Below are 24413 nucleotides of genomic sequence, written 5' to 3'. Positions count from 1 at the left end.
GATACTTTTTAATGTTATCTTTTGAAAATTAAAAAGTAACCCAAACACTTAGTAAAATAACCAAATTACAAAAAAAATAAAATTGTCTCCTTACTCCAAGAACCCCACAAATCCTCCTTCTCAGAGTTAACAATCATTCATTGTTTTTTAATGTTTCTCCCAGACTTCTCGATGCATTTGTGTCAAAATACATACACAAACACACATATATTTTTCTTACCACAAAAGACTACTAGATGCATGTTCTGTATCCTTTCAATTAACAATGCATCCTGAAAACTCATTCCATATAAGAACACACAGATCTACATTTTTCCTTTTAACAGCTACCCAGAAAGCCACTGTGTGGCTATAATTTATTTAATCACTTCAGTATTGATGGACATCACACTGTTCCCAGACTTTACATTATTATAAACAATGCTTCAAAGAACAGTCTTAAACATACATCTTTGCACACGTGTGCAAGCATACTCAGGATAAATTATGACAAGTGGAATCTATGGTCAAAGAGTAGATTTGGATAAATAGTTTCAAATTGCACTCTGAAGAAGTCACACCAATCTATACTCCCATCAGTAAAATATGAAAGACTATTGGCCCATGTTTTTCCTCTATGTTGTACATACTGTTAAACATTTTCATCAATGCCCATCTGAGATTCAAAAAATAATACCTCATTAATTTGCATTTATTTAGATACATATTAGGTAGTATATGTGAGGTTAATGTATTAGTAGGACATGCATATTTTTTATTTTGGTAAATTGCCTATTTGTGCCCTTTATCCATTTTAACTGGATTATTGGCCTTTAGTTGATTTCAAAGAGCTTCTTTATATAATAAGGAAATTAGCTCTTTGTCCTACATTGCATATGTTTAGAATTTTTGGTTTTGTTTTTTAAGCTTCTTACATCTGAATGTACATTTAACTAGGCAAAAGTTTTTAATTTTAACATAACCTACATTCAACTTTTAAGGAAGTATCAAAATGGCTTGCTTTGCAAAAATAATATAAAAATTTTAACATGAAAACTACTATTTTATTGAACATGGAATATATGATAAATGTGTAATGCATATAAAAACGTTTCCATTTTACAGGCAATTGAATGAATATACATTAAATATACATTACCTGCCTTTCCGCTGTATGGCACTAGCTTTGGAAATCCATACCATTTTTAACATTGTAACAAAATTCAGAGCATCAAAGGATTTCTGTAATATTTAAACCATCTTTATGTTAGAATATAAAAGGTATTTAAAAGGTAATAGCAAGAATGTTATCAACATATTTTAACATGCCAAAAGTTTAATTCAAAGTCCTCTCTTGATTAAATAATTAAAACAGCAGTACTGATTTTTAATAAACCCTGATTTTCTGGTTACAAACATACTAAGAAAAAAGGATTTAAAAACTAAACTCAGAAGAGCGTAAAACTTCTCCATTCTGTGCTCTGCTGAGCTATTTGTTGCTCTCTGCCACAGCTGGATAATGGCAGCCAGTTCTCATAAGACATCAAGATTGGAGAGAACGGATCTATTCCCTTGAGGTCACTTTCCTATCAGATTTGCATCACTGTGCAGAATAAGAAGATCAAGGAAAGACATTTTCTGAAATACTTTTCAGGGACCTAACCTTGTGGAGTAAGAATAACAATCAATAATCTTATCCCAAAGAGAAATATTTTTAACCACTTCCACTTTACTTCCTGCTGAGCTACTAACAAAGTTAGCCTTTCCCGAACGTTACAATGAAGAAAGTAAAAAAGAACCATTGTTATCCACATACTTATTCAAATAACCTACAGTGAAAATTTATTGTAGAGAAATATTTTAAAGAAATACAAGCCTAACTAGAACATGTATTTCAGTCACTCGGTACTTATACTTTCCCTTTCATAAAATAACTGCATAGAGCAAATAAAAATGTTTGCATAATAGTTTATAAAATTTTTAGAAAACAGCTTATTTGGTTTTTAATATGACATTACATTTGTCAATTTTGTATGTTAAATAACTTTTGACACTACCCATGTTTTAAATTTCAGTTACTTAATAAATAAGTAACACCTAAAGGAACTTTCTAAAATATTCAAAACCCACTTTATCCACTTTAGGTAATTTTAGGGCAATAAAATCTGAATTTTCATTGGCTCACCATTAAGATTTTTAGTGATAATACTCATTAATGTACTATTATATAAAAATAAAATTTATCCCACCTTTATTCAATTATAAAGCATATGGCCAATTTTTATAATAAAATTTTATTTTCTATAAAATATTCCTTAAAATTACATTGAAAACATAAGGCAATTACTTTTTTCACATTAAAAACGATCATTTTTATCCACTAAATAGATATAATTTGCTTTCCACACATGAGTAATATGTCTTCCCTTGAAAAATCAATTATCTTTACCACTTTCATTTTTTCAGCGAATGTTATCTACCAAAAGTTAGGAACATGGACAACTGCTGGGCATTCCAGTACTAAAAGGAAATAAATGGCTTTTTTTTTTTTATAACAAAGGTTGGCTGTTTTTGAAAAGGACTTTCAAATAGTAAATATTTTAGGCTTTGAGAGGGTCTCTGTTACAAATACTCCAATCTGCCTTGCAGTATGAAGGCAGCAACCATAGAGAAAAGGTAAAAGTAGACTAGCTGAGTTCCAATGAAACTTTTTTTTTACAAAAGCAAGTGTTAAGTCCAATTTAGCTGCTGGTTATCCCATGGTTTATCTATTTCTTTGCTTTCTTTCAGCATGGTTCTCTTGAACTGAGTATCTTTTGAACACCTGCTATAGGTGAGGCACTAAAGATTTAACAGTGAACAAAGACATAATCCATGTGCATATGTAGAAGGAAAACATAAAAAATATGTAATCAAATTCCCATACTGTGTGACAACATTTTCACTATAACTAACCAAACCCTTTACTTTCTTCCTAGTATTTGGTGAGCAGAGCTACATTTTTGTATACTTTGTTAAAATAACAAAAATTGATTCTATATACTGAATTATTTAAGGCAGAATATTTAGTAAAATCAATATTTAGTATGTTAAATTTATCTAGAACCAGACATTTTTCGTAAATTCTGCTTATAAAAGCATGCGCTGGTCCAAGCTGTCTTGAGTAGAGGTAAAATTAAAAGAAAAACAACTAAATAATAAATAAAAGTATTTGTTGAAGTAGAACTTAATCTTCTTCATTTAAGTAAAACTACAACTTACCCATACATACCTCTTTCACCTTACCAGAATCAATAACAAAGACAACATCATTGACTGTGATGCTGGTTTCAGCAATATTGGTGGAAAGAATCTGCAACAAGATATTACTTTAAAGTTAATAAAAAAACAGAAAAAATAACTAATGAAAGTGTTAAAAAGAAGATTTTATGAAGCTTACTATTTTTCGAACACCTGCAGGTGGGTTTTTTAATACTTTCTTTTGATCGGATGTTTGCATATTTGAATGAAGCATAAAGACTTGGTATCTGCAGACAATTGAAAGAGAAAACATACTATAAGACCTGTCCGTTATTTTAAGCAACAGATATAAGGCTTTAGCCCTTACCTATGTGTACTGTCAGCAAACCGCTTGTCATCAAACAGGATGCGATCTCTCAGTCCAACAATTTCGTCATATCCAGGCAGAAAAATTAGTACTGCACCTTGGAGAAGAATGACTTTTTAATATTAAATCTCATTGTGAATCAGAGGCAATCAACAGAATTATAAAAATCTGTATCACATGTTTTCAAGTACTGGTAAACTATCATAAGATGACAGGAGATTATTCACTTACTACTATCAGTGCAATTATATAAAAATTTGTACACTTAAAATATTAATTCTTAAAGTATATATTTTGCTCCAGTTCTTTTAGACAACACGTATTTACCAGCATCACAACTATGGCAGATATTGTATAGAAGATGCATGATCAAATCCAAGTCTACTTTTTCATCATCGAAACTATGATGATAAGCTTTCAGGAGCTCTCTGTCTTCAGCACTGAGGTCACTTCCATTTGTTTGAACCAGAGAACTTTCATCTAGATTTCCAAATTCCAGTGTAGCACTGAAAAAAAAAAAAAAAAAAAAGACAAAGTCAATTTCCATTAACAAAAGTAATCCTTATGTCCTTCAAATTTCCAATATTCCCTAAGGAAGGTAAGGTAAGTGACACTTAATGTCCTAGCTATAATATGATTCATGTTTTGATTTCAAGCACATTATTCAAAGTAAAATTTGGCAATGAATGCTTTTAGAAAAGCACAATCTGAAGGCATTTCTCCAAAGTAAATATACAAATGGCCTATAAGCACATGAAAAGATGTTCAACATCATTAGCTATCAGGGAAATGCAAATCAAAACCACAATGAAATACCACTTCACACCAACTAGGATGACTACAATCAAAAAGACAGACAATAACAAGTGTTGGAGAGGGTGTGGAGAAATTTAAACCCTCATGCATTGCTGGTGGAAATGTAAAATGGTAAAGCTGCTTTGGAAAACAATGTGGCAGTTCTTCAAAAGGTTAAACATAGAGTTACCATATGCCCCAGCAATTCCACTCCTAGGTGTATATATAAGAGAAATGAAAAAAATATATCCACATAAAAATCTGTACACAAATATTCATACCAGTATTATTCATAGTCAGAAAGTGGAAACAACCTAAGTGTTCATCAATTGACAAATATACAAACAAACCTTGGTATATCCATAGAATATGTATTAGTCATAAAAATAGTGCTACAACATGGATATTTTATGCTAACTGAAAAAAGCCAATCACAAAAACCACATATCACATGATTTCATTTATATAAAATGTCCAAAATAGACAAATCTATAGAAACTGGAAGTAGATTAGTGGTTGGTCTAAAGCTGGAGGAGGCCTAGGAGAGTTGGGGCGGAATAGGGAGAGACACCTAATGGGTACAAGTTTCTTTTTGTGGTGATGAAACTGTTCTAAAATTGATTGTGGTGATGATTGCATAAGTCTGTGAACATATGAAAAACCATTGAATTGGTCACCTAAATGGGTGAATTATATGGTATATTAATTATATCTCAATAAAACTGTTAAAAACCACAAACTTTCAGCTATCATTTATATTTTCTTAATAGGTTGTATCTAATTGTTTACTACTATAAACAATATTCTGATGTATAGTTCACATTTTTAAAAAACTCAGTAGGTACCAACTTAACATGACTGTTAATTAGAAAATTCTATACTAAAAGCAAGTTGATTATGCTATTTTCCAAAAGCAAGAATCAACATAAATTACTGAAATAAATGCCTTGCTTCTTCATCTTATATGTAAAAATGTAAACTACTGCTATCACTAGCAATTATCAACAGAATTTCTAGGAAGTTCAAATAAATCCAATCTCTCTTAAAGAATTTAGCAGAAAAATAACGTAAGACTATTTTCAATGGGAAAAATATTAAACTTCTACAACTTAATAATTGGCTCTTGTAAATGTTTTATTATACTTTAAGTTCTGGGATACATGTGCACAACATGCAGGTTTGTTACATAGGTATACACGTGCCATGGTAGTTTGCTGCACCCATCAACCCTTCATTTACATTAGGTATTTCTCCTAATGCTATCCCTCCCCTATCCCGGAACCCCTCAAGAGGCCCTGGTGTGTGATGTTCCCCTCCCTGTGTCCATGTGTTCTCAGCTCTTATAAATTTTAAGATCTACTTTAAAACACTGTAAGTTTATTGTTTTTTAATTTTTAACACATAAATGAAGAAGACATTATATTCTGTTTAAAGCTATAACTTTTGGATATAAATTATCAATAATCCAGTAAACATAATAATATATTCAATTTTAAATACCTGAAATTTATAATTGATAATATGATCTATCAAATAAAAAGAAAGCCCAGTTAGCCAGGATAATTAAAATATTATCCAGATAAACGCTTTACCTGGTAACCTGCAGTATCTAGTGAGCTTTACTTAACACCATAAGAATGTCTGGAACATTCAAAGTGTTAACAATAAAAGGACTGCAAGTTCTGGGTGCTACTATTGAAATGACAACTAAACCTACCATATCAGAAATAGCATTTAAACCTACCAAGAATTTTGAGACTCAATGTCACAACTAATTTCAAATGTCTGAGACTACATTTCCAATTTTACATCTATAAAATTAAGTACAAAAACCCAGGTCAAATAAAACATTTTATATGCTCTTGAATAACAGATATTTTAATATATTTTAACTTCAGGCTCCATTGTTTTCTTTTTTGAGTCTCTAAAGGTTGAAAACAGAAGCTTTCAATGTATTATAAAACATATATTCAAAATTTTCTTTAAATATCTAATCTGAAAGCTTCATAATTTATTTAAATATCTAATGTAAATTTATCTAAAATTTCTATCTAAAAGACAATTAATTCGATTGGTTTTACAGGATTCCCTTGTGATTTTTCTTTTTTTGCTAAATCAAAGCAATACATATACATAGTGGTGGTAAATGGTTTTATAGAAGTTATAACAAAAACTCCTAGTCACACTGCTTAGGACTATTCTATTGTTTTAGCCATTCCTTTTTAGTATTTGCTGTCATATTTCTAAGCAACATTCATTTTCTGCTATTTATTGTTTTAACAACGTAGTCATTATCTGCGAACCTCCAACTAATGAAAAATGAGGTTACCACTTCCACTTCCCTACACTTTCCACCCACACCAGTTCCTACAATTTTTGTTAAATCTTCATTCAGCCTTTACTTTACTATGACTGGTAAACATTTACTGCTTAGCCTAATAATATACTATGATTATACCTCCTTTCTTGTGTAACTTTTTGTTTTTCCTAGAGTAACAACTGTCTAATTTTTATTTGCTTAGTTTTCTGTGATCTGATAGTAATTCTTCCCAAATTATCTAACAGATTCATAAAGCTTTTTAATATGATTGACAATGCCAGGTAAATTTTTCCCCCACAGAGACCTCCCTCTAGAGCCCCACATCTTCTGTTCCTATGCGATCAGGCCTACTAGACACAGGTGTCATCAAAACAATCCTCTGTACCAGCATCCTGAGCATTCCTTTCACCTATCCCCTGTGCTGTACCTGCCCGGTTTTACCCGTTTTTTTTTTCTCCCCCAATTTTTGTTTTTCTTTTTACTTCTTTTTTGTGAAGCACATTCTCCAACAGTTTCCTAATAAAGGAGTACATAGGAAGCAAATTTTCTTATGTTTTTTCTACAATTTTCCTGCTCTGAAAGCAATTTTCTAAACTTTATCTTGTAACTCTTCTTTTTTTCTGCTATCATATTTTTAATTTACAAGAATTATTTATTTATTCATTCATTCAACAAACACTCACTGCACATCTACTACATCTAGTTGCTGTTCTTGAACAAGCAGACAATAAGCTTACTACATTCTGGTAGGGAGAAGAGATAGACAATAAATCAATAGAACAGTGAACAAGTATATTACATAGTGTATCAGAGGGTGGTAGGGCTTCTGGAGAAAAAAAGAATACGTAGAACAGGTTAAAGAGGATGGACATTGCGTGGGGGGTAGATTGTAATATCAGATACGGCAAATTTGGGTAGGCCTCATGAAGACAAAATCTGAACAAAGATTTGTGTTCTGTTCCTTTTTGATAGCACACTTTTTATTGCATGAATGCAATATCTTTTATTATAGTTTTGTATTCTAAGTTTTCTCTTTGATAACTAACTCTTTTTTTACTGCTTCACTCAAAGGCCACTGAACAAGCCTCTAAGGAGTTTCAAAGCTAAAATGAGTGTTTCTCATTGGCACTGTGAGTTTTCTTAGTTCTGCTAAGTCAATCAATCAGCTATCTATCATCCCAAAATTAACATCTTCTATCAGTTGCCCTGTCCTCTTCCATTCTCTTTGACTTTGGTTTACACCTTTTAAATTTCTTTATATTGCTTCATTGTCATTTTAGTGAGGTTTTGAGAAATGTAAAAGGTTTGAGAAAATGCAGAGATACTTATGTTGTACCTACCATGTTTAATTGGAAATCCCTCTACTGATTTCTTAAAATAAGACAAATATTATACCATGGTAGATCAGACAGAAAATTTCCTTAGAATCACAAAAAAAAATCTCTGGATAAAAGACTATAAATGGTCTACATTTGAATAGCCCATAATTTATATGGTGAAGCTCTTTTTTAAGAGACGGTAGAATTAATTTAAAATAGTACAAAGTTTTACCTGTAAGATTCTAGAAGATCCACAATTTCAGTCTGCCCAAAGTGTTTAGCCCAATCCAATGCCATCCTGCCAAAATTCAAAGGATATATAAGATGTCATCAAAATTGTAAAACTAGTTCATGATGAGCCTGGGCAACATCAAGACCCTGTCTTTTCAAAAAAATTTTTAAATAAAAAATAAGATAAATTATAGTTAAAAAACAAGTCATTCAAAATTATTAACCCATTAAAACAGAAATTCACCAGCAATTATTACACAATAGTTTTTAATATAAAGACAAACATAAGAAAACAAAAAAAGATATGTGTAGCTATACAAAGATATATGAAGAATCAACGTAGTTTAAAATTACCAGCCATTTGATGCTTTACTATGGACATTGGCTCCCATACTGATTAACTGTTCTACTTGACTTGCAAAGCCACGTCCTGCAGCAACCATCAGAGCTGTTGCACTGGTTTCACTATGTCTGTAATCAACTAAAAAAAGGAAAAGATAAATAAAACTTAAATTTCCAAAGTACTTCAAACCATTTTCATTCTTTAAAAAATCTGAAATAGCAGAACTGAGTTTCAGGATAATTAGCCTGAGAGTTGCTCCTTAACTACATAATGACAGCACTACATAACCCTTAACTTAGATCACTTACAGCAATCTGTTATGATATGTCTAGTGTAAATTGAATAAAGACTGTTGGTTGGAAGGTAGGAGAAGGAAAGATCGATGTTAAACTGTTTTAAGCTCATCTATATTATTTCAACAGAAAAGGAAAGCTATTAACTTGCATAACCTTAAATAATCTTCCTAAATCTAGATATTACCTTGTTCACCAAATGACAAGACATAATTAAATAATTTAAAAGTTAATTTTCATCAGTAACTAGTAATGAATACTTAAAAGCTTCAAATGCAAAGTTTGAGACAATGTTTGGTTGTTATTTTACTTTGCTTTTAATCCCCCATTCAAGGCTATTTGATAAGACACTTAATGGGATTAACACTGACAGAAAGTTTATTTCCCATAAAACCCTTACATTAGAAAAATAATTAAAGTTCTATTGAAGTTTCTTCCTAGAATATATTTCTCAAGCAATTCAATATAATTGCTTAGCATTAATTTGCTTAAATTACAAAATTGGTAATTTCAGAAAGATTTCATTTAAAAAACCCTCAACAGTAAAATTTAAGATAACTACAAAAGGAAAATTTTAATCTTTCATATACAGTATGTATACCCAATTATCTTCTATTTAATAAACACTCTGAAACATGGTATCCATTATCAATATACATCAGTGTTCTTTTAAAGTGAGGCAGAGACAAGAAAATTGCCTCAGGCTTTCTTTTTAAGACTATTTTTTTAGAACAAGTTTTAGATTCACAGCAAAACTGAGAGGAAAATAAAAAGTATATCCCATATGTCCCTTGCCTCACACATGTATAGCCTCCCCCATTATCAACATCCCCCACCAGAGTGGAACATTTTTTACAACTGATGAACTTGCACTGACACATCAACCAAAGTCCATAGTTTACATTAGGATTCACTCTTGGTTTTGTGCATTTTACGGATTTGGACAAATATATAATGGCATGTATTTTTATTTTGCTTTGGGGTTTGTTTTTTGAGGTGGGTTTGTTGTTGTTGTTTCTGCTTTGTATTTTTAAAAGCACAGATAGCCATACCTTACTCAGAGATTCAGATTCAATAAGTCTGGGATGGTCAGGCATTTTAAAAGATCAATTTATTCTGATCTGTACTCATTGTATGCAAATTACTTCTTCAACTGAATATTCAATTCATGGCCTTGGAGAACAGCATCAAACTGTGTGTATTTTGAGCAGAAGGGTATGAATAAATGTGAAACATTTAAAACATTTTTAACACTCCTCCCTTCAAGAGGTGGAGCCTAATTCCCTTCTCCCTGAATATAAACTGGACTAAGTGACTCATTCTAATGAACAGAATAACGTGAAAGAGGTGGTGTGCAAGTCTGGAAACTAGGTCATAAAAAGTAACTACAACTTCCTCCTGCTCTTTTTCTTTCTCTCTTGAATCACTCTCAGAGAAGCCAGCTGCACCTCACAGGTAGAATAAGGCAGCCCTATTGAGAAGGACAGTTGACAAGAACTCATGGCTATTCTGCCAACAGCCAGCAACAAACTGAGGACTCCTGCCAAAAGCTATGTAAGTGAGGCTTCTTGAAAGCATACTCTCCAGCCCCAAAAACCTTCAGATGAATGTAGTCCCTACGAACAGTTTAACCGCAACCTCATGAGAGACTTGGAGCCAGACCACTCAGCTAAACCACTCCCAGATTCTTGACTCTCAGAAACTATGGAGATAATAAATGTTTCAGGCTTCTAAGTGTTAGAATCATCTGTAATGCAGCAATAGATACAGTAAGTATGACAGAGAATGTCAAGTCTTAACTGATTATTAGCTGCTTCTACATGATCATGGGGAAAATGATGCTACTAAAAAGAAATCTATGAAGCCCAGAGTTTCCTAAATCATATGACATATTTTCAGTTCTGGTGCAAATTGAGGGTTGAGATTTTAGAAATGAAACAAAAAGATGAGAAGTGAATGATTGAGCTACTGTAACATTTTAGTTTTCCTCACATGGCTTAAAACATTAGAATACTGGACTCTGGGAAATGTACAAACTGTACATAAGAGCAGAGGAGAGACCTGAGTCTACACAGGATGACCATAATCAAATTAACAGTCTAGTATTCACTAAAGAAATATCAGGAAGAAAGCTAAGGATAATACTTAAATACTTAAAATGCATCATAAATATTTTAAAGTCACTGTTTTCAGAATTTAAATTCCTTAACTTTCAAGTAAGATTGCTAAACTCTTCAGAGTAAATATTTTTTAAAATAATGGAAAAAGAAAGAACGCAAGAAAACTGCAGATGAACAAATATCTACACTTTCAAATCCAAAAAGTTACTTTTAAAAATGGAGATCAGGCCGGGCGCGGTGGCTCACGCCTGTAATCCCAGCACTTTGGGAGGCCGAGGCGGGCGGATCACGAGGTCAGGAGATCGAGACCATCCCGGCTAAAACGGTGAAACCCCGTCTCTACTAAAAATACAAAAAATTAGCCGGGCGTAGTGGCGGGCGCCTGTAGTCCCAGCTACTTGGGAGGCTGAGGCAGGAGAATGGCGTGAACCCGGGAGGCGGAGCTTGCAGTGAGCCGAGATCCCGCCACTGCACTCCAGCCTGGGCAACAGAGCGAGACTCCGTCTCAAAAAAAAAAAAAAAAAAAAAAAAAAAAAATGGAGATCAATTATTTTTCAAAAAATCAATAATGAGGGCCCAGCACAGTGGCTCATGTCTGTAATCCCAGCACTTTGGGAGGCAAAGGTGGGCAGGTCGCTTGAGCCCAGAAGTTCAAAGCCAGCCTGGCCAGCTCTTCAACAAAAGAAGAGAAACAGGTTTTGCAGAAGAGATGAAGTATTCAGTCTGGGGCATATTAGAAGTATCTAAATCCAAAGCTCTGGAGGCTGAGGTGGGAGAATCACCTGAGCCCAGAAGTCAAGGCTGCAGTGAGCCACAATAGCACCACTGCACTCCAGCCTGGGTGACAAAGTGAGACCCTGTTTCAAAACAAAACAAAACAAAACAAAACAAAACAAAACAAAACAAAAAAGAATAATGAGCTTTAAAAAATAAATCAATAGGAGCCAACACACATTTACAAAGAGAAAAAAAAAGTCAAAAAACCCTCACTTATTTTTTAAGAAGTTAGACTAGAAGATGTGTAGGATTATAACTGCTTGAACAACCACACCCAAATATTGACCTAGTCCCTTGCAGCATACCACATGCTTGGTAATTGACCCAGACACCTCAAATTGACAAACAGAGAAAGCTTATTAATGCAATAGATAACAATTAGAATTTTTTAAAAAATTGTTAGGCAGAAACAACGGGCCAAATCTAACTTTAAGATAAAATTTATAATGAATAAACAGAATATCTCAAGCTCAAAAAAATTCAAAACAAGTACATGATGATTAAATAATTTAATTCAATAAAATCGTAAGTTTAAAAAAAGAACTAAAAATTTCAAAAACAATATGAATCAATATGACAATGGGGTTGGCTGAATTAATACCAGTAAAGAGTAGAAGGTTTTAGGCTAAGATGGTTACTAAGAGATTAACACTCAGAACTGGATACTATGCTTTTCAAAAGGGATAAAATAGAACATATCCAGAGAAGGCAGACCAGGGAAGGAGGGGACCAGATATCATGTTATATTAAAGAACAGTTGAAGTAATAGGTACAGTCAGCCCAAAAAAAAAACAAAAAATTTAAAAGAAAAAGAATAATCATCTTCATATACCTAGAAGTCTGTCAGGCATAAATACATATGTTCACTCCAGAAGCAGAAAAAGGGAGATGCTATGTAGTTAGATTTCACATCAACATACTAAAAAGTTAACTACTAAAACAATTCAAATTCAAAAGAAAGGTAGTGAACTTCCTGTCACTAAACATGTTCCAACAGATTATCATGTGGTAAAGATGCTTAAAAGTAATATCATTATTTGGGCTGGGTGTGGTGACTCATGCCTGTAATTCTAGCACTTTGGGAGGCTGAGGCAGGCGGATCACAAGGTCAAGAGATTGAGACCATCCTGGCCAACATGGTGAAACTCCGTCTCTACTAAAAATACAAAAAAATTAGCTGGGCATGGTGACGCACACCTGTAGTCCCAGCTACTCAGGAGGCTGAGCCAGAAGAATCACTTGAACCCGGGAGGCAGAGGTTGCAGTGAGTCAAGATCACACCACTGCACTCCAGCCTGATGACAGAGAGAGACTTTGTCTCAAAAATAACAATAATAATAATATCATTATTCAACAAAGATTTTTCAGCACTTAATAAACGATGAATCTCTGGTGACACAGAGATAAGTAAAACTGACAAAGTTTCTGCCCTCATGTAGTTTTCATTCTAGTAGATGAAATAAGTAATGAAAAATAAAAAATACATGACAGGTAATGAAAGTACAATAAAGAATAATAAAGGAGAGTAAGGAAATATCGTGAGAAAATGGTACAACTTTAGTAAGGTGGTCAGAAAAGAGAAGGCAATGTGTAAGCAGAGACCTAAATAAGTAGGCATTGGGCCATGTGATTACCAGTGGAGATAGTATTCTAGGCATATGAAACAACAAAACAAAGTCCCAAAGGGAATGTGTTGGCATACATGAAGAATATCAAGGAGATAAGTGTGTCTAGGCACAGTGAACAAGGAGGCAAGTGGCAAAAAATAAGATCAAGGAGGAAGCCAGAGGCCTAATCATGGAAAGGACTTTGATTTTTATCCACAGTGTAACTGGAAGCCTGCGAGAGTTGAGAACAAGCAAGTGGAATGATCCAATTTCCTTTATGAAAGGATCAGTCTTATTTTTCTGCGGAGAACAGACTGCAGTAACATAAAAACAGAAATGGTTAACGGGCTACTGCAATAGTCCAGAAGAGAGGCTAGCTTGGACTAGGGGAGTGAAATGTACAGTAGGGGGAGTGAAATGTACAGTAGGGGAAGTGAAAAGTGGTCATATTCAGGATTTATTTTAGAATGCAAAGTAAATAGGATTTGCTAATGAATTATATGTGCAATATGACAGCAGACTTTCTGTATGCTTTGCTGCCTTAGCAACTAGGTGAATGATAGTGACCATTTACTGAAAAGGGAAACACAAGAAAAGTGCAGGTTGAGAGGAAGGTACGTAGGGAGGGGATCAGAAGTTGTTTGAGGAGTATCCAATTTTATTCACCTAACAGACATCCAACTGGAGATAACAAGTGATAAGGTATATTTAAATCTGGGGGTAGATGAGGTCTGGAGATGTAAAGTTAGGGGTCATTTAAAATAGATATTTAAAGCAATGACTATTTGAGATCCACTTAAGGATTAAGTATAAATAGAATTAAGGTCTTAAGGATTGAGACCTAGGAGATTTCATATTTACAGGTCAGAAAAAAAGAAAAAGATCTTGCCAAGAAAACCAAGAAGTTAGAGCCAGGGAAATATGAAGAAAATAAGCCAAGTATGAAATACTGGAAGTTAACTGAGTAAAATATTTCAAGAAGAAAGTAATCAATAATAATTACAATTATAATGCTGAGGGCTTCAGGTGAAATAATAAATACTTGACATCTAAATCCTTTCCAAGGAAGGGAAAGACAAGAGTATATACACAACACATACACATAACAGCATTTTTGCACATAATTGTCATGTAATCACACAGCTCTTCAAACTGCAATGGAGACATTAGCTTAAGAATCTGATTTAACACAATATTTATTTCTACTATGCTGTGCTAGCAAGAAGATCCTGATTTGTACATTTGAAATAAAATAAATACTTTTAAAAAATAAAATTTTTGGTTGTGCAATTATTGGTAGTACATACGTTTTGAATTAAACTATACTTCCACCATAAATAACTGTAAGGGTAATTTTTTAAAATTAAAATAAACTTACCACTAACATTTTCAGTTAAAATGAGATGAAAGACCTGAGCAAAGGCATCAATATCTTTATGTAGCCATATATCAGAAAGGCAAGCATCCATTTCCTTTATTAACCATGGTTCAAGGCAATTCACATCTTTTTCAGTCTACAAAAAACAGTAAAAATCATAAATTATCATAAATTACCTAACATTTGCTTGCAAAGAACATAAGATGGCCACAATGGCCATCAGGACTACTAATCCTATGATAATATAGCAAATGCTTTGACATAAAAAATTTCTCCTTTCATCACAAACATTATCACTCACAATACAGTATCTAGTCCTTATACTCAACTTTTATCTGAGAATGAGTTTGTCAACAAAGGACTATGATCTAGTCACGATGTTAATTGTGCTTCCAATATGATGTTGTTAAATGCACATACAGATCAGTAGTTCTCTCTCCCAACTGCACATCAAGGGAAGTATCACCTGGAGCTTTTTAATACTGATGCCAGGTCCCACCCCAGAGCAAGTGCATCAGAATCTCTTGTTGGTAGGGTGCTAGATTCCATAGGGCTTTAAAAGCTCCTCAGGTGACAAAATATACAGCCAGTCTTAAGAACCACAAATATACATGGTCAAAATGCTGTTCCATGACCCAAATAAGTCTATACTATATGTTTTTTTATATAGCATGTGTTATAATCCTATAAACATATAGGATATATATCATTATATATATAGTATATTTAGCGTGCATATCTATAAAGATGTTAAATAACAATTTTTATTACCAATTTTTAAATATTCTTTAAAAGTATTTTTAAAAACTCATGTACAGTTCATTTGGATACATTACAACTTTAAACACTAGTAGAAAACTGCAAACATATCTGCATTACATACTATCACATGCTCAAAAAAAGGGTAAATTATTTTTTTAAAGAGTAGAAAGTTGCTCTGAAAAATTGGTTGTGGTCTAAAATAAACCAAGAGAATTACCATTCAATTATGCAGTAAAAAATTACAATCTCTTGGCTGGGTGCAGTGGCTCACTCCTGTAATCCCAGCACTTTGGGAGGCCGAGGCGGGTGGATCACGAGATCAGGAGATCAAGACCACCCTGGCTAACACAGTGAAATCCCGTCTCTACTAAAAATACAAAAATTTAGCTGGACATGGTGGCGGGCGCCTATAGTCCCAGCTACTTGGGAGGCTGAGGCAGGAGAATGGCGTGAACCCGGAACGCGGAGCTTGCAGTGAGCCGAGATCACGCCACTCCACTCCAGCCTGGGCCACAGAGCCAGACTCCATCTCAAAAAAAAAAAAAAAAATTATAAGCTCATAAAATGTTCTTTAACCTACACAATTTTCACACAAAATATGAGTGGGAAACCAGGGAGGTCATACCAGCTGACTGAAGACAGCATCACCACCATCATCCAGTAAGTCATACTCATCAGTCACATTTAGAACAGTTCTCTGCCTCTGAGATTCAGGCTTGAAACTATTTTCTTGAGCTGAGTACCATTCTGTAAGTGTGGTTTGTTGTTTCTCTTCTAAATTAATTATCAAAGAAAGAATATGTAGACAAATCATTTCCTTTTTGAAATGTATTCCTTTGTTTAAATAAATTATGGGAATCTGGTATCTCTTAAAAGTTGGTCTTATTCTGTAGTTACTTTTAAAAAATATATTAAGAATATTCAATAAAAATGTGTTATGCTGAAACAAAAAGACACATGAAACTGCTTGAAAACTTCATTGATATGGTTAGGCTTTATGTCTCCACCCACATCTCATCTTGAATTATAATTCGCAGGTGTTGAGGGAAAGACCTGGTGGGAGGTGATTGGATCATGGGGGCAGTTTCCCCCATGCTGTTCTCATGATAGTGAGTTCTCACGAGATCTGATGGTTTTATAAGCATCTGGTATTTCCCTTGCTTGCACTTCTCTCTCTTGCTGCCATGTAAAGAAGGTCCTTGCTTCCCCTTTGCCTTCCATCATGACTAAGTTTCCTGAGGCCTCCCCAGCCATGCAGAACTGTGAGTGAATTAAACCTCTTTTCTTTATAAATTTCCAAGTCTCAGGTAGTATCTTTACAGCAGTGTGAAAATGGGCTAATACATTCATGCATTCACCTATTGTTCCAAGTCCTACTAATAAGTTTACTTCTAAGTAAGTCCAGAATTAAGAGTATTTTTATCCATGTTATAACTATTGTTTAAATCAATGACCAATATTCATACAGCACTTTGTAGAAAACCATTTGTTGAAGTTCTACCACCACGCTAGTTTTCTGAGATACAATTATATATAATTTTCATCTTCAAATGTTTCAGCTGGACATGGTGGCTCATGCCTGTAGTTCCACTTTAGGACACTGAGGCAAGAGGATTGCTTGAGGCCAGGAGTTCAAGACCAGCCTGGGCGATGTAACTAGACTGCGTATCTACAAAATATTTTAAAAATTAGTTGGGCACAGTGGTCTACATCTCAAGAGGCTGAGGTGGGAGGATCCCTTGAGATGAGGAGGTCGAGGCTGCAGTGAGCCATGATTGCACCAATGCACTCCAGCCTGAGTAATAGAACAAGAACCTGTCTCTAAAAAAATTTTTTTTTAATTTTTTTTTTTAAGTTTCAAGATCTAGGAGTTTTACAACTTACATATCAGTAATTCAGTGCTTCCCAATGAAATCAGCATTGCTGATTACATTTTTCAAGGGGAAAATCCAAAGGAGTTCAGATTTTTGTCCAAGGGCATACAGAATAAACAAGGTATCAAAGCTTGAAGCCAAGTCTTCTATGATGAATAATGAAGTTAAAATTAAGAAAAAGAAATCTGAACCCTAATTCAAAAGCTGAAATATGTCATTACAAGAGACGTATTAACAGGAAAATAATGCTAAATTCAAAGTATCAATGAAATCCTGTAACATCATCAAGATTTGGAAAACTCAACATTTTTATCAAAGTTTGTTATTAATCACATACTACTTTTTTCACTCCCTCCCATTCACTTCCCAGTCCTTCCCTATGAGATATGCTGTGGGCAGCCAGCATATATTCTTCTATCTCCTTAAAAGGTGGCTGAATGTTTGGATATAGACACCTCCTCAACTCTGGCACCCACTTTCAGTTTCTCTCCACAGATTATAACTTCTGGACACAAACCAGAAAGCAAAGGAATATTTGGGACAATATTCCAATATAAGGTTATACAATTATATACAAGAGAAAAACACTTTCAAGTGTCCTTGTACCTCCACAATGTAAGGATGGAGTACTCCAAAGTCATTATCAATAGTAATTTCTTTTATATTTCTTTTATTAAAAAATTTACCTTGCTGTTTTTCCTTTTTATATTTTAACATTTCTTTGTTTGTATATCCAGTTGTTCTTAAAATATCTTCCAGAAACATTTCTTTTACTTCAAATGGTCTTCCCTGTACTAAATAATAAAAAAAAATTAAATACTCAACTTGCATCTTGGAGAAAATTCACATAAAAACATGAAAATCCCAAGTTAATGAATCTCAGTATAATATCCAAAAGCAATTTCATAGTTCAAGTGACTCTTATAATATTGTCCTTTAACTATAACTTTGACTTACAAACAACTATTAGACAACTGTTTGTGTGCTTGGGTTTTTTCCTCTAGTGTTTACTACCTACTTATCATGTGTCTGGCATCAATATCATTTGTATTATAAGTAGAAATTGTAAGAGGAAACAGAGCTATTTCCTGTTCCCTGGAGGCAAGCTAGTGGAAGAGACAGAAATCAATCCAAAAATCCAGAATATGAAGGTAAATATAGAGTTGTGAAGAGTCCTGAGATACAAGTACAAGACACCATGACAGTATGTAACGGGGGATTTGACAACATCAAGAAAGTATCCTCACTAAGAAAATGAGAAACAAGAAGATAAACAAAATAACAAAGCCATATGAAAAGAATAAAAAGTGTATAATGATGATGAAAAACAGCATGTGCAAAGTCCCTGTGCTAGAAAGGAGTTTCAAGGACCTAAAGGTGTTTCAAGGAACTAAAAGGCTAACTTACTTGAAAAATGGTGGGAGTGTGGGAATGGAGAGGGATATCGTTCAAGATGAGGTAAGAGGAAAAGATAAGTCTTACTAAGGGTTTATGTCTTTATCCTGAGGTAAAAGTCATTCAAAGATTTAAGCTCAGTAAAGTGCTTGACATCATCAGAATTCTACTTCAAAGAAGACCACTCTGACTGCAATATGGAGAATGGATTTAAAGACAGCAGAATGCTACGTCAAGCCAAGTAGCAGCTACTGCAATAGTTCAGGTTAACCTGAATGAGATTAATAATAGTGAAAACCAAAAAAGAAGCAGACAAATTCTAGAGCTAGGCGGGAGGTAAAATCCGTAGAACTCAGCATTATATTGGATATGGAAAAAAAATAAAGTGTCAAATATAGTCCTTTGATGTCTGGCTTGCAAATCTGAATGATAATGTCATTCTCTGAGGTAACAAAGAAACCTGAAAAGAACAGGTTTGCTGGTGGGAAATGGGGTTTGGTTTTAGGCATGTAAAATGAAAAATGAGCTTTCGATTAGCATATGTACAGATCTGATGTCCCTGATCACCCAAGATTATTACAAGGAGTTAAGAACTTATAGGTTTGTGATTCAGGTGATTAGGTCAATAGTAGTATGATTAACTAAGACAGGTAACACAAGAAGAGAAAAGGGTTTTGCAAAAGAGATGAAGTATTCAGTTTGGGGCATACTAGAAATATCTAAATCCAAAGCTCTGGAGAACAACTGAAAATAAAGATTCAGAAGTCATCAGTATAAAAGAAAAAATAGAAGCCCAGGGCATGAATGAGAGCTTCCAGGAAAACTATGCATCTCCAATACCTAGTAGAGTATAGCATAGGGCAGGAAACAAGAGGATGGGAATAGTGGGAAAGGAAGGAAGGAAGACGGAACGAACAGAAAAAAAAAAAAGGAAACGGATCAAGGGAATAATTCTAGAGAATACCACTATTTAAGCATCATGTAAAAGAAGAGAAGCCCACAGGGGAGACTGAGAAAGCATGGGATATAATGAAGAATGAGGTTTAGCAAGCAGCAATGTTATCAAACAAACTACAGCATCTGAGCATTTCACAAAAAAAAAAAAAAAAAAGAGAGAGAGCCAACCATAAAACATACCACAGAAAAGTTAAGTAAGATTTTTGCCTAAAATTTGAATATCAGATTGGCAATTAGGTTAATGTCAAACGACACCGGTAAAAATTCAAATAAATAGCCTTATACACTTCAGAAATGTAAATCATTTCAGCCTTTTGAAAAGTAAAATGGCAAAAGCTGTTAAAATTAAAAATAGATATACTCTTATTTAGCAAATTCACTTTCAGAAATCTATCCCTAGAAATCCAGTACATCAGGATATACATAAAAGGATGTTCATTATAACATTGTTGGCAGGGGCGAGGCGGGGGATCTAGAACCAACTTGAATATCCAAAAATAAAGAAATGGTAAAATAAATATAGTACATCAATATTATGAAATACTTTATTATGCAGGTGCTTAAAATAAAGAACTAGATCCAGGGTTACTAAACTGGAAAACTGTTCATGATAAAGCAAATTGCAAATAATGTATTAGCCATGTGCTCATGTTTATAAAACCAATTTTTGTAAACGTTATAAATGTGTATATATTTGCATACATTTTTGTGAAGATGAAGAACAAATATATATAAAACACTGTTAACATCCATAAATCATAAATCCATAAAGCCAATTTTTGTAAATGTTATAAATACGTATATATTTGCATACATTTGTGTTCTTACATTAAGTAAAAACGAATATATATAACACTGTTAACATCCATAAATCAGAAAAGTAGGACATGGAACAAGGATAGGGGCAATTGTGAACTTTTTCTATATATATTTTTGTATTATTTCACTGAAGTAAACAGAACTTTTGTATTTTTATTTATTTATTTTTTTTGAGACGGAGTCTTGCTCTGTCACCCAGGCTGGAGTGCAGTGGCACAATCTCAGCTCACTGCAAGCTCCGCCTCCTGGGTTCACGCCATTCTCCTGCCTTAGCCTCCCGAGTAGCTGGGACTGCAAGTGCGTGCCACCACGCCTGGCTAATTTTTTGTATTTTTAGTAGAGACAGGGTTTCACTGTGTTAGCCAGGATGGTCTCCATCTCCTGAACTCGTGATCCACCTGCCTTGGCCTCCCAAAGTGCTGGGATTACAGGCGTGAGCCCCCACGCCCGGCCTAACTTTTGTATTTTTTGAAGAGGAATTTATCATTTTTTTAAAGACTGGTGGCAAAATCCGTTTTTAATAAAGGACAAGGGCAAAAGTTGTTTTAGCATTTTCAGAAGTGAATGTGAAGTAAAACATGGGAGTATAGACTACTTTTCAAAGATATCTACCAATAAAGGGAAATAGTTATAGGACAATTTAAGAAGGAACACAAAGTGAAAATAAAGCATATTTCCTTTTAAGGTAAGAGAATTAGGCTCACTACACAATACCAAAGAGCTGTTGATAGAAAAGGAGAAGTTGAAAACAGAAAGAAGTGACAATTAAGCCTATCTCAGGTGGAACGGTAATAGATGGCCTCTACTTCAGAACATTCCCCAGTTTCTGTTAGGATAAATAATGTCCAAAAGTGTTCTTTCATAAAAATTATAGAAGAAATCTGACAATTTAACTTACTATATATCACTGGACAACTTCCAAAATATCTTATAAAGAGATTTACATCCAAGGCAGCACTAGAAAGAATTAGTTTCAAAGTTGGGTGCTTTTGCAACAAATCTCTTAACTTTGTAAGTAAAAAATCACTAAATCGATCCCTTTCATGCACTTCATCCTATAGTAAACAGAAATAAAACCATGGAACAGTTAAAACATTATTGATGACTAAGTCTTTAAAAACAATGGCACCACTGGGTTTTACACTAATTCAAATTAAATGTGGACAAGGCCAATCAATATTCATGAAAATTTTGTATTACAGGAATTTCAGAAATAATTAGACATTAACAATGAAATGCAGATGACAAAGTAAAGTTGTCCCCTGGCATCTGTGGGTGAATGGTTCCAGGGCCTTCCCCCATGCCAAAATTCATGGATGCTCAAGTCCCTGATTAAAAAAAAAAATGGCATAGTATTTGCACATATCCTATGCAAATCCTTCCATATACTTTAAATCATCTCTAGACTACCTATATTACCTAGTACAGTGTAATGCTAGGTAAATAGTTACACTGTATTCTTTAGGGAATAACAACAAGAAAAGTCTGTACATGTTCAACAGACACACAATATTTCTTTAAATGTTTTCAACCTGCAGTTGTTTGAATCCATAGTCATGGAACCCACAGATACAGAGAGCTGTCTATATTGCCCTTTTTTCCCACAAAATATAAAACTACAAAAAATTATAAGTAAAGTCCAATTTAATGTGCTTTTAATACATAAAAAATCTATGTAAATACGTTTCTTTTAGCATCAGAGCTTATGAAGTGCATCCTTTGGTTTGGGTAAGTTTCTAAAAGCTGCTTATTCCAAGTTTATAAAACTTAATCTAATTTTTTTTGACACAAACTAGGTAAAAGCTTAGAATTCCTTAACAAAGGGGTAAACTCATCAACTTAGTTCATCAGCAGTTAGTTAATTTAGCAGCTTAATCATGGAGTTTATTAGTATACCCCTATCATTGGGAAATATATGATATTAATGAAGGGATCAAACAACCAAGTATAGAGATAAAAGAAATCTCCCTTTTTTTTGAGAACTCTAAGTGCATGCATCATTTTCATATATGAAAAGCACATTTTTTAAAACTACCTGCTTATTTTATTTTCCCTCAATAAAGCCTAATGGCTTTATTATTTTTGTAATACAAAATATTTCTAATAATTATAGACAAAAAATAAATTGATCATTACAGCCTGTTCAAAAGAATAAGTTGGTTCTCTTTTCTACCCTATTCCAAAAATGTAATTATGTATTTAAATTTTTTGAGACTATCCTGAAACGGCATATGTATTTAAATTTTAAGCAATCTGAGTTACATATGACAAATTCAGCAATATTCTTACCACGATAACATGTGTCACAGTCGACAACGTACTATCTCCTGCCATCAATGTACGAAGCAATACCCCATTAGTACAAAATGTCAGAAGTGTCTTTGGAGAAACCCTTTTAAAAAAAAAGCAAAACAAAGTGCACAATTGCAAGTTTTTCATGTAACTAAAATATAATCACATTAAATGCTGGCCTCGTACACATTTTAATAAATATTACTAATAGTGTACCGGTATGTACAGTTTATTAGTAAAGCTATGAGGTTTTGCAGTTATGTGAGACTGCCTGACAATAGCCTTTTATATTAAATGATGTATTTTGTTAAAGAACCTAAGCTGCTCTAAAAACAAAACAAAACCTTAAATACTTTTTGCTTGCAGCTAAAGTATGTTACAAATGGAATCAGATTTTTTAATCACCACTGAGAATAAAAAAAGTACTACTTGTCAAGAAGGCATTACTAATACTACATATACTGAGTATTCCTTATCCAAAATGCTCGAGACAGAAAGGGTTTTAGGTTTCAGATTTTTCCAGATTTTAGAATACCTCCAGTTGAGCATCCCAAATCTGAAAATCGTAAATCCAGAATCCTCTGATGAACATTTCCTTTGAGTGTCATGTTGGCACTCAAAAAGTTTTAGATTTTTTAGCATCTTGGATTTCAGATTTTTGGATTTAAGATGCTCAATTTATACTACTACTGATAATAAATTCACTAACAGTTATTGAGTGTTCACTATAAACTTCACATCAAACCTGTACTCTAGATGCTTTTCTTTGACTCATTTTATAGATAAGAACACTGAGGCTCAAAGAGGTAAAATAACTATGATCATGAAACTAGGAAACGGAATTTTTTTTTTTTTTTGAGACGGTTTCGCTCTTGTTGCCCAGGCTGGAGTGCCATGGTGCGATCTCAGCTCACCACAACCTCCGCCTTCCGGGTTCAAACGATTCTCCTGCCTCAGCCTCCCGAGTAGCTGGGATTACAGGCATGCACCACCAAGCCCGGATAATTTTGTATTTTTTTTTTTTAGTAGAGACAGGGTTTCTCCATGTTGGTCAGGCTGGTCTCGAACTCCTGACCGCAGGTGATCCACCCGCCTCGGCCTCCCAAAGTACTGGGACTACAGGCATGAGCCACCGCGTCCCGCCTGAAATGGAATTTTTATCTATGGTTCAAAGTCTTTTTCAAACTCTTCATTCAATACTACTCTAGATTTAGACATGACTTTAATATCTTGATGTAGACTTACTTGGAGCAAAATGATCACCTAACTTTTCAACGAACACATCCTCTATTTTTAGTGAAATATACATAGTCTTTTTTAAGCATGATAAAAGAGAAGATACATGAGAACTGTTTTTACCTGCTTTCTAATCGGATCTGATAACCAATTGTTTGACCAATCCTTTCCCGTCTCTCTGCGGCAACTCTTTCAGCCACAGCGATAGCTGCCAATCGTCTTGGTTGAGTACAAAATATACGGCAGGGGATACCATTTTTAAAGCAATCATCTAAAAGGAACTGAGGAATCTGAAACAAAAGTTTTAAA

The 24413-nt window shown here is 33.9% G+C and overlaps 1 protein-coding gene across 12 annotated transcripts in view; it reads right to left on the bottom strand.

Annotated features, from left to right (window-relative positions):
- Positions 1 to 24413, bottom strand: part of YTHDC2 (YTH N6-methyladenosine RNA binding protein C2) — an 81591-nt gene that overhangs the window by 38012 nt on the left and 19166 nt on the right. For 11 of the 12 annotated variants that reach the window (XR_246540.4, XR_948288.3, XM_047417527.1 and 8 more), the window contains 13 exons: positions 24228 to 24394; positions 22866 to 22968; positions 21475 to 21631; positions 18092 to 18199; positions 16157 to 16305; positions 14770 to 14905; positions 8606 to 8732; positions 8253 to 8318; positions 3914 to 4092; positions 3587 to 3683; positions 3419 to 3506; positions 3251 to 3331; positions 1139 to 1221 (listed from right to left, as the gene is read on the bottom strand). Coding sequence is in view for 9 of the 12 variants with exons in the window: in XM_047417527.1 (XP_047273483.1) it covers positions 1139 to 1221; positions 3251 to 3331; positions 3419 to 3506; positions 3587 to 3683; positions 3914 to 4092; positions 8253 to 8318; positions 8606 to 8732; positions 14770 to 14905; positions 16157 to 16305; positions 18092 to 18199; positions 21475 to 21631; positions 22866 to 22968; positions 24228 to 24394 (1541 nt within the window). In the remaining 3 variants the exon portion in view is untranslated. Of the gene's footprint in view, positions 1 to 1138; positions 1222 to 3240; positions 3332 to 3418; positions 3507 to 3586; positions 3684 to 3913; positions 4093 to 8252; positions 8319 to 8605; positions 8733 to 14769; positions 14906 to 16156; positions 16306 to 18091; positions 18200 to 21474; positions 21632 to 22865; positions 22969 to 24227; positions 24395 to 24413 lie in introns of all 12 variants that reach the window. The other variant, XR_001742200.3, reaches the window with a different exon arrangement.

This window comes from Homo sapiens, chromosome 5, assembly GCF_000001405.40.
Source record: "Homo sapiens chromosome 5, GRCh38.p14 Primary Assembly".
Lineage (NCBI taxonomy): Eukaryota > Metazoa > Chordata > Mammalia > Primates > Hominidae > Homo > Homo sapiens.
Note: the sequence above shows the minus strand (reverse complement) of the source record. Positions and strands in the feature narration are given on the sequence as shown.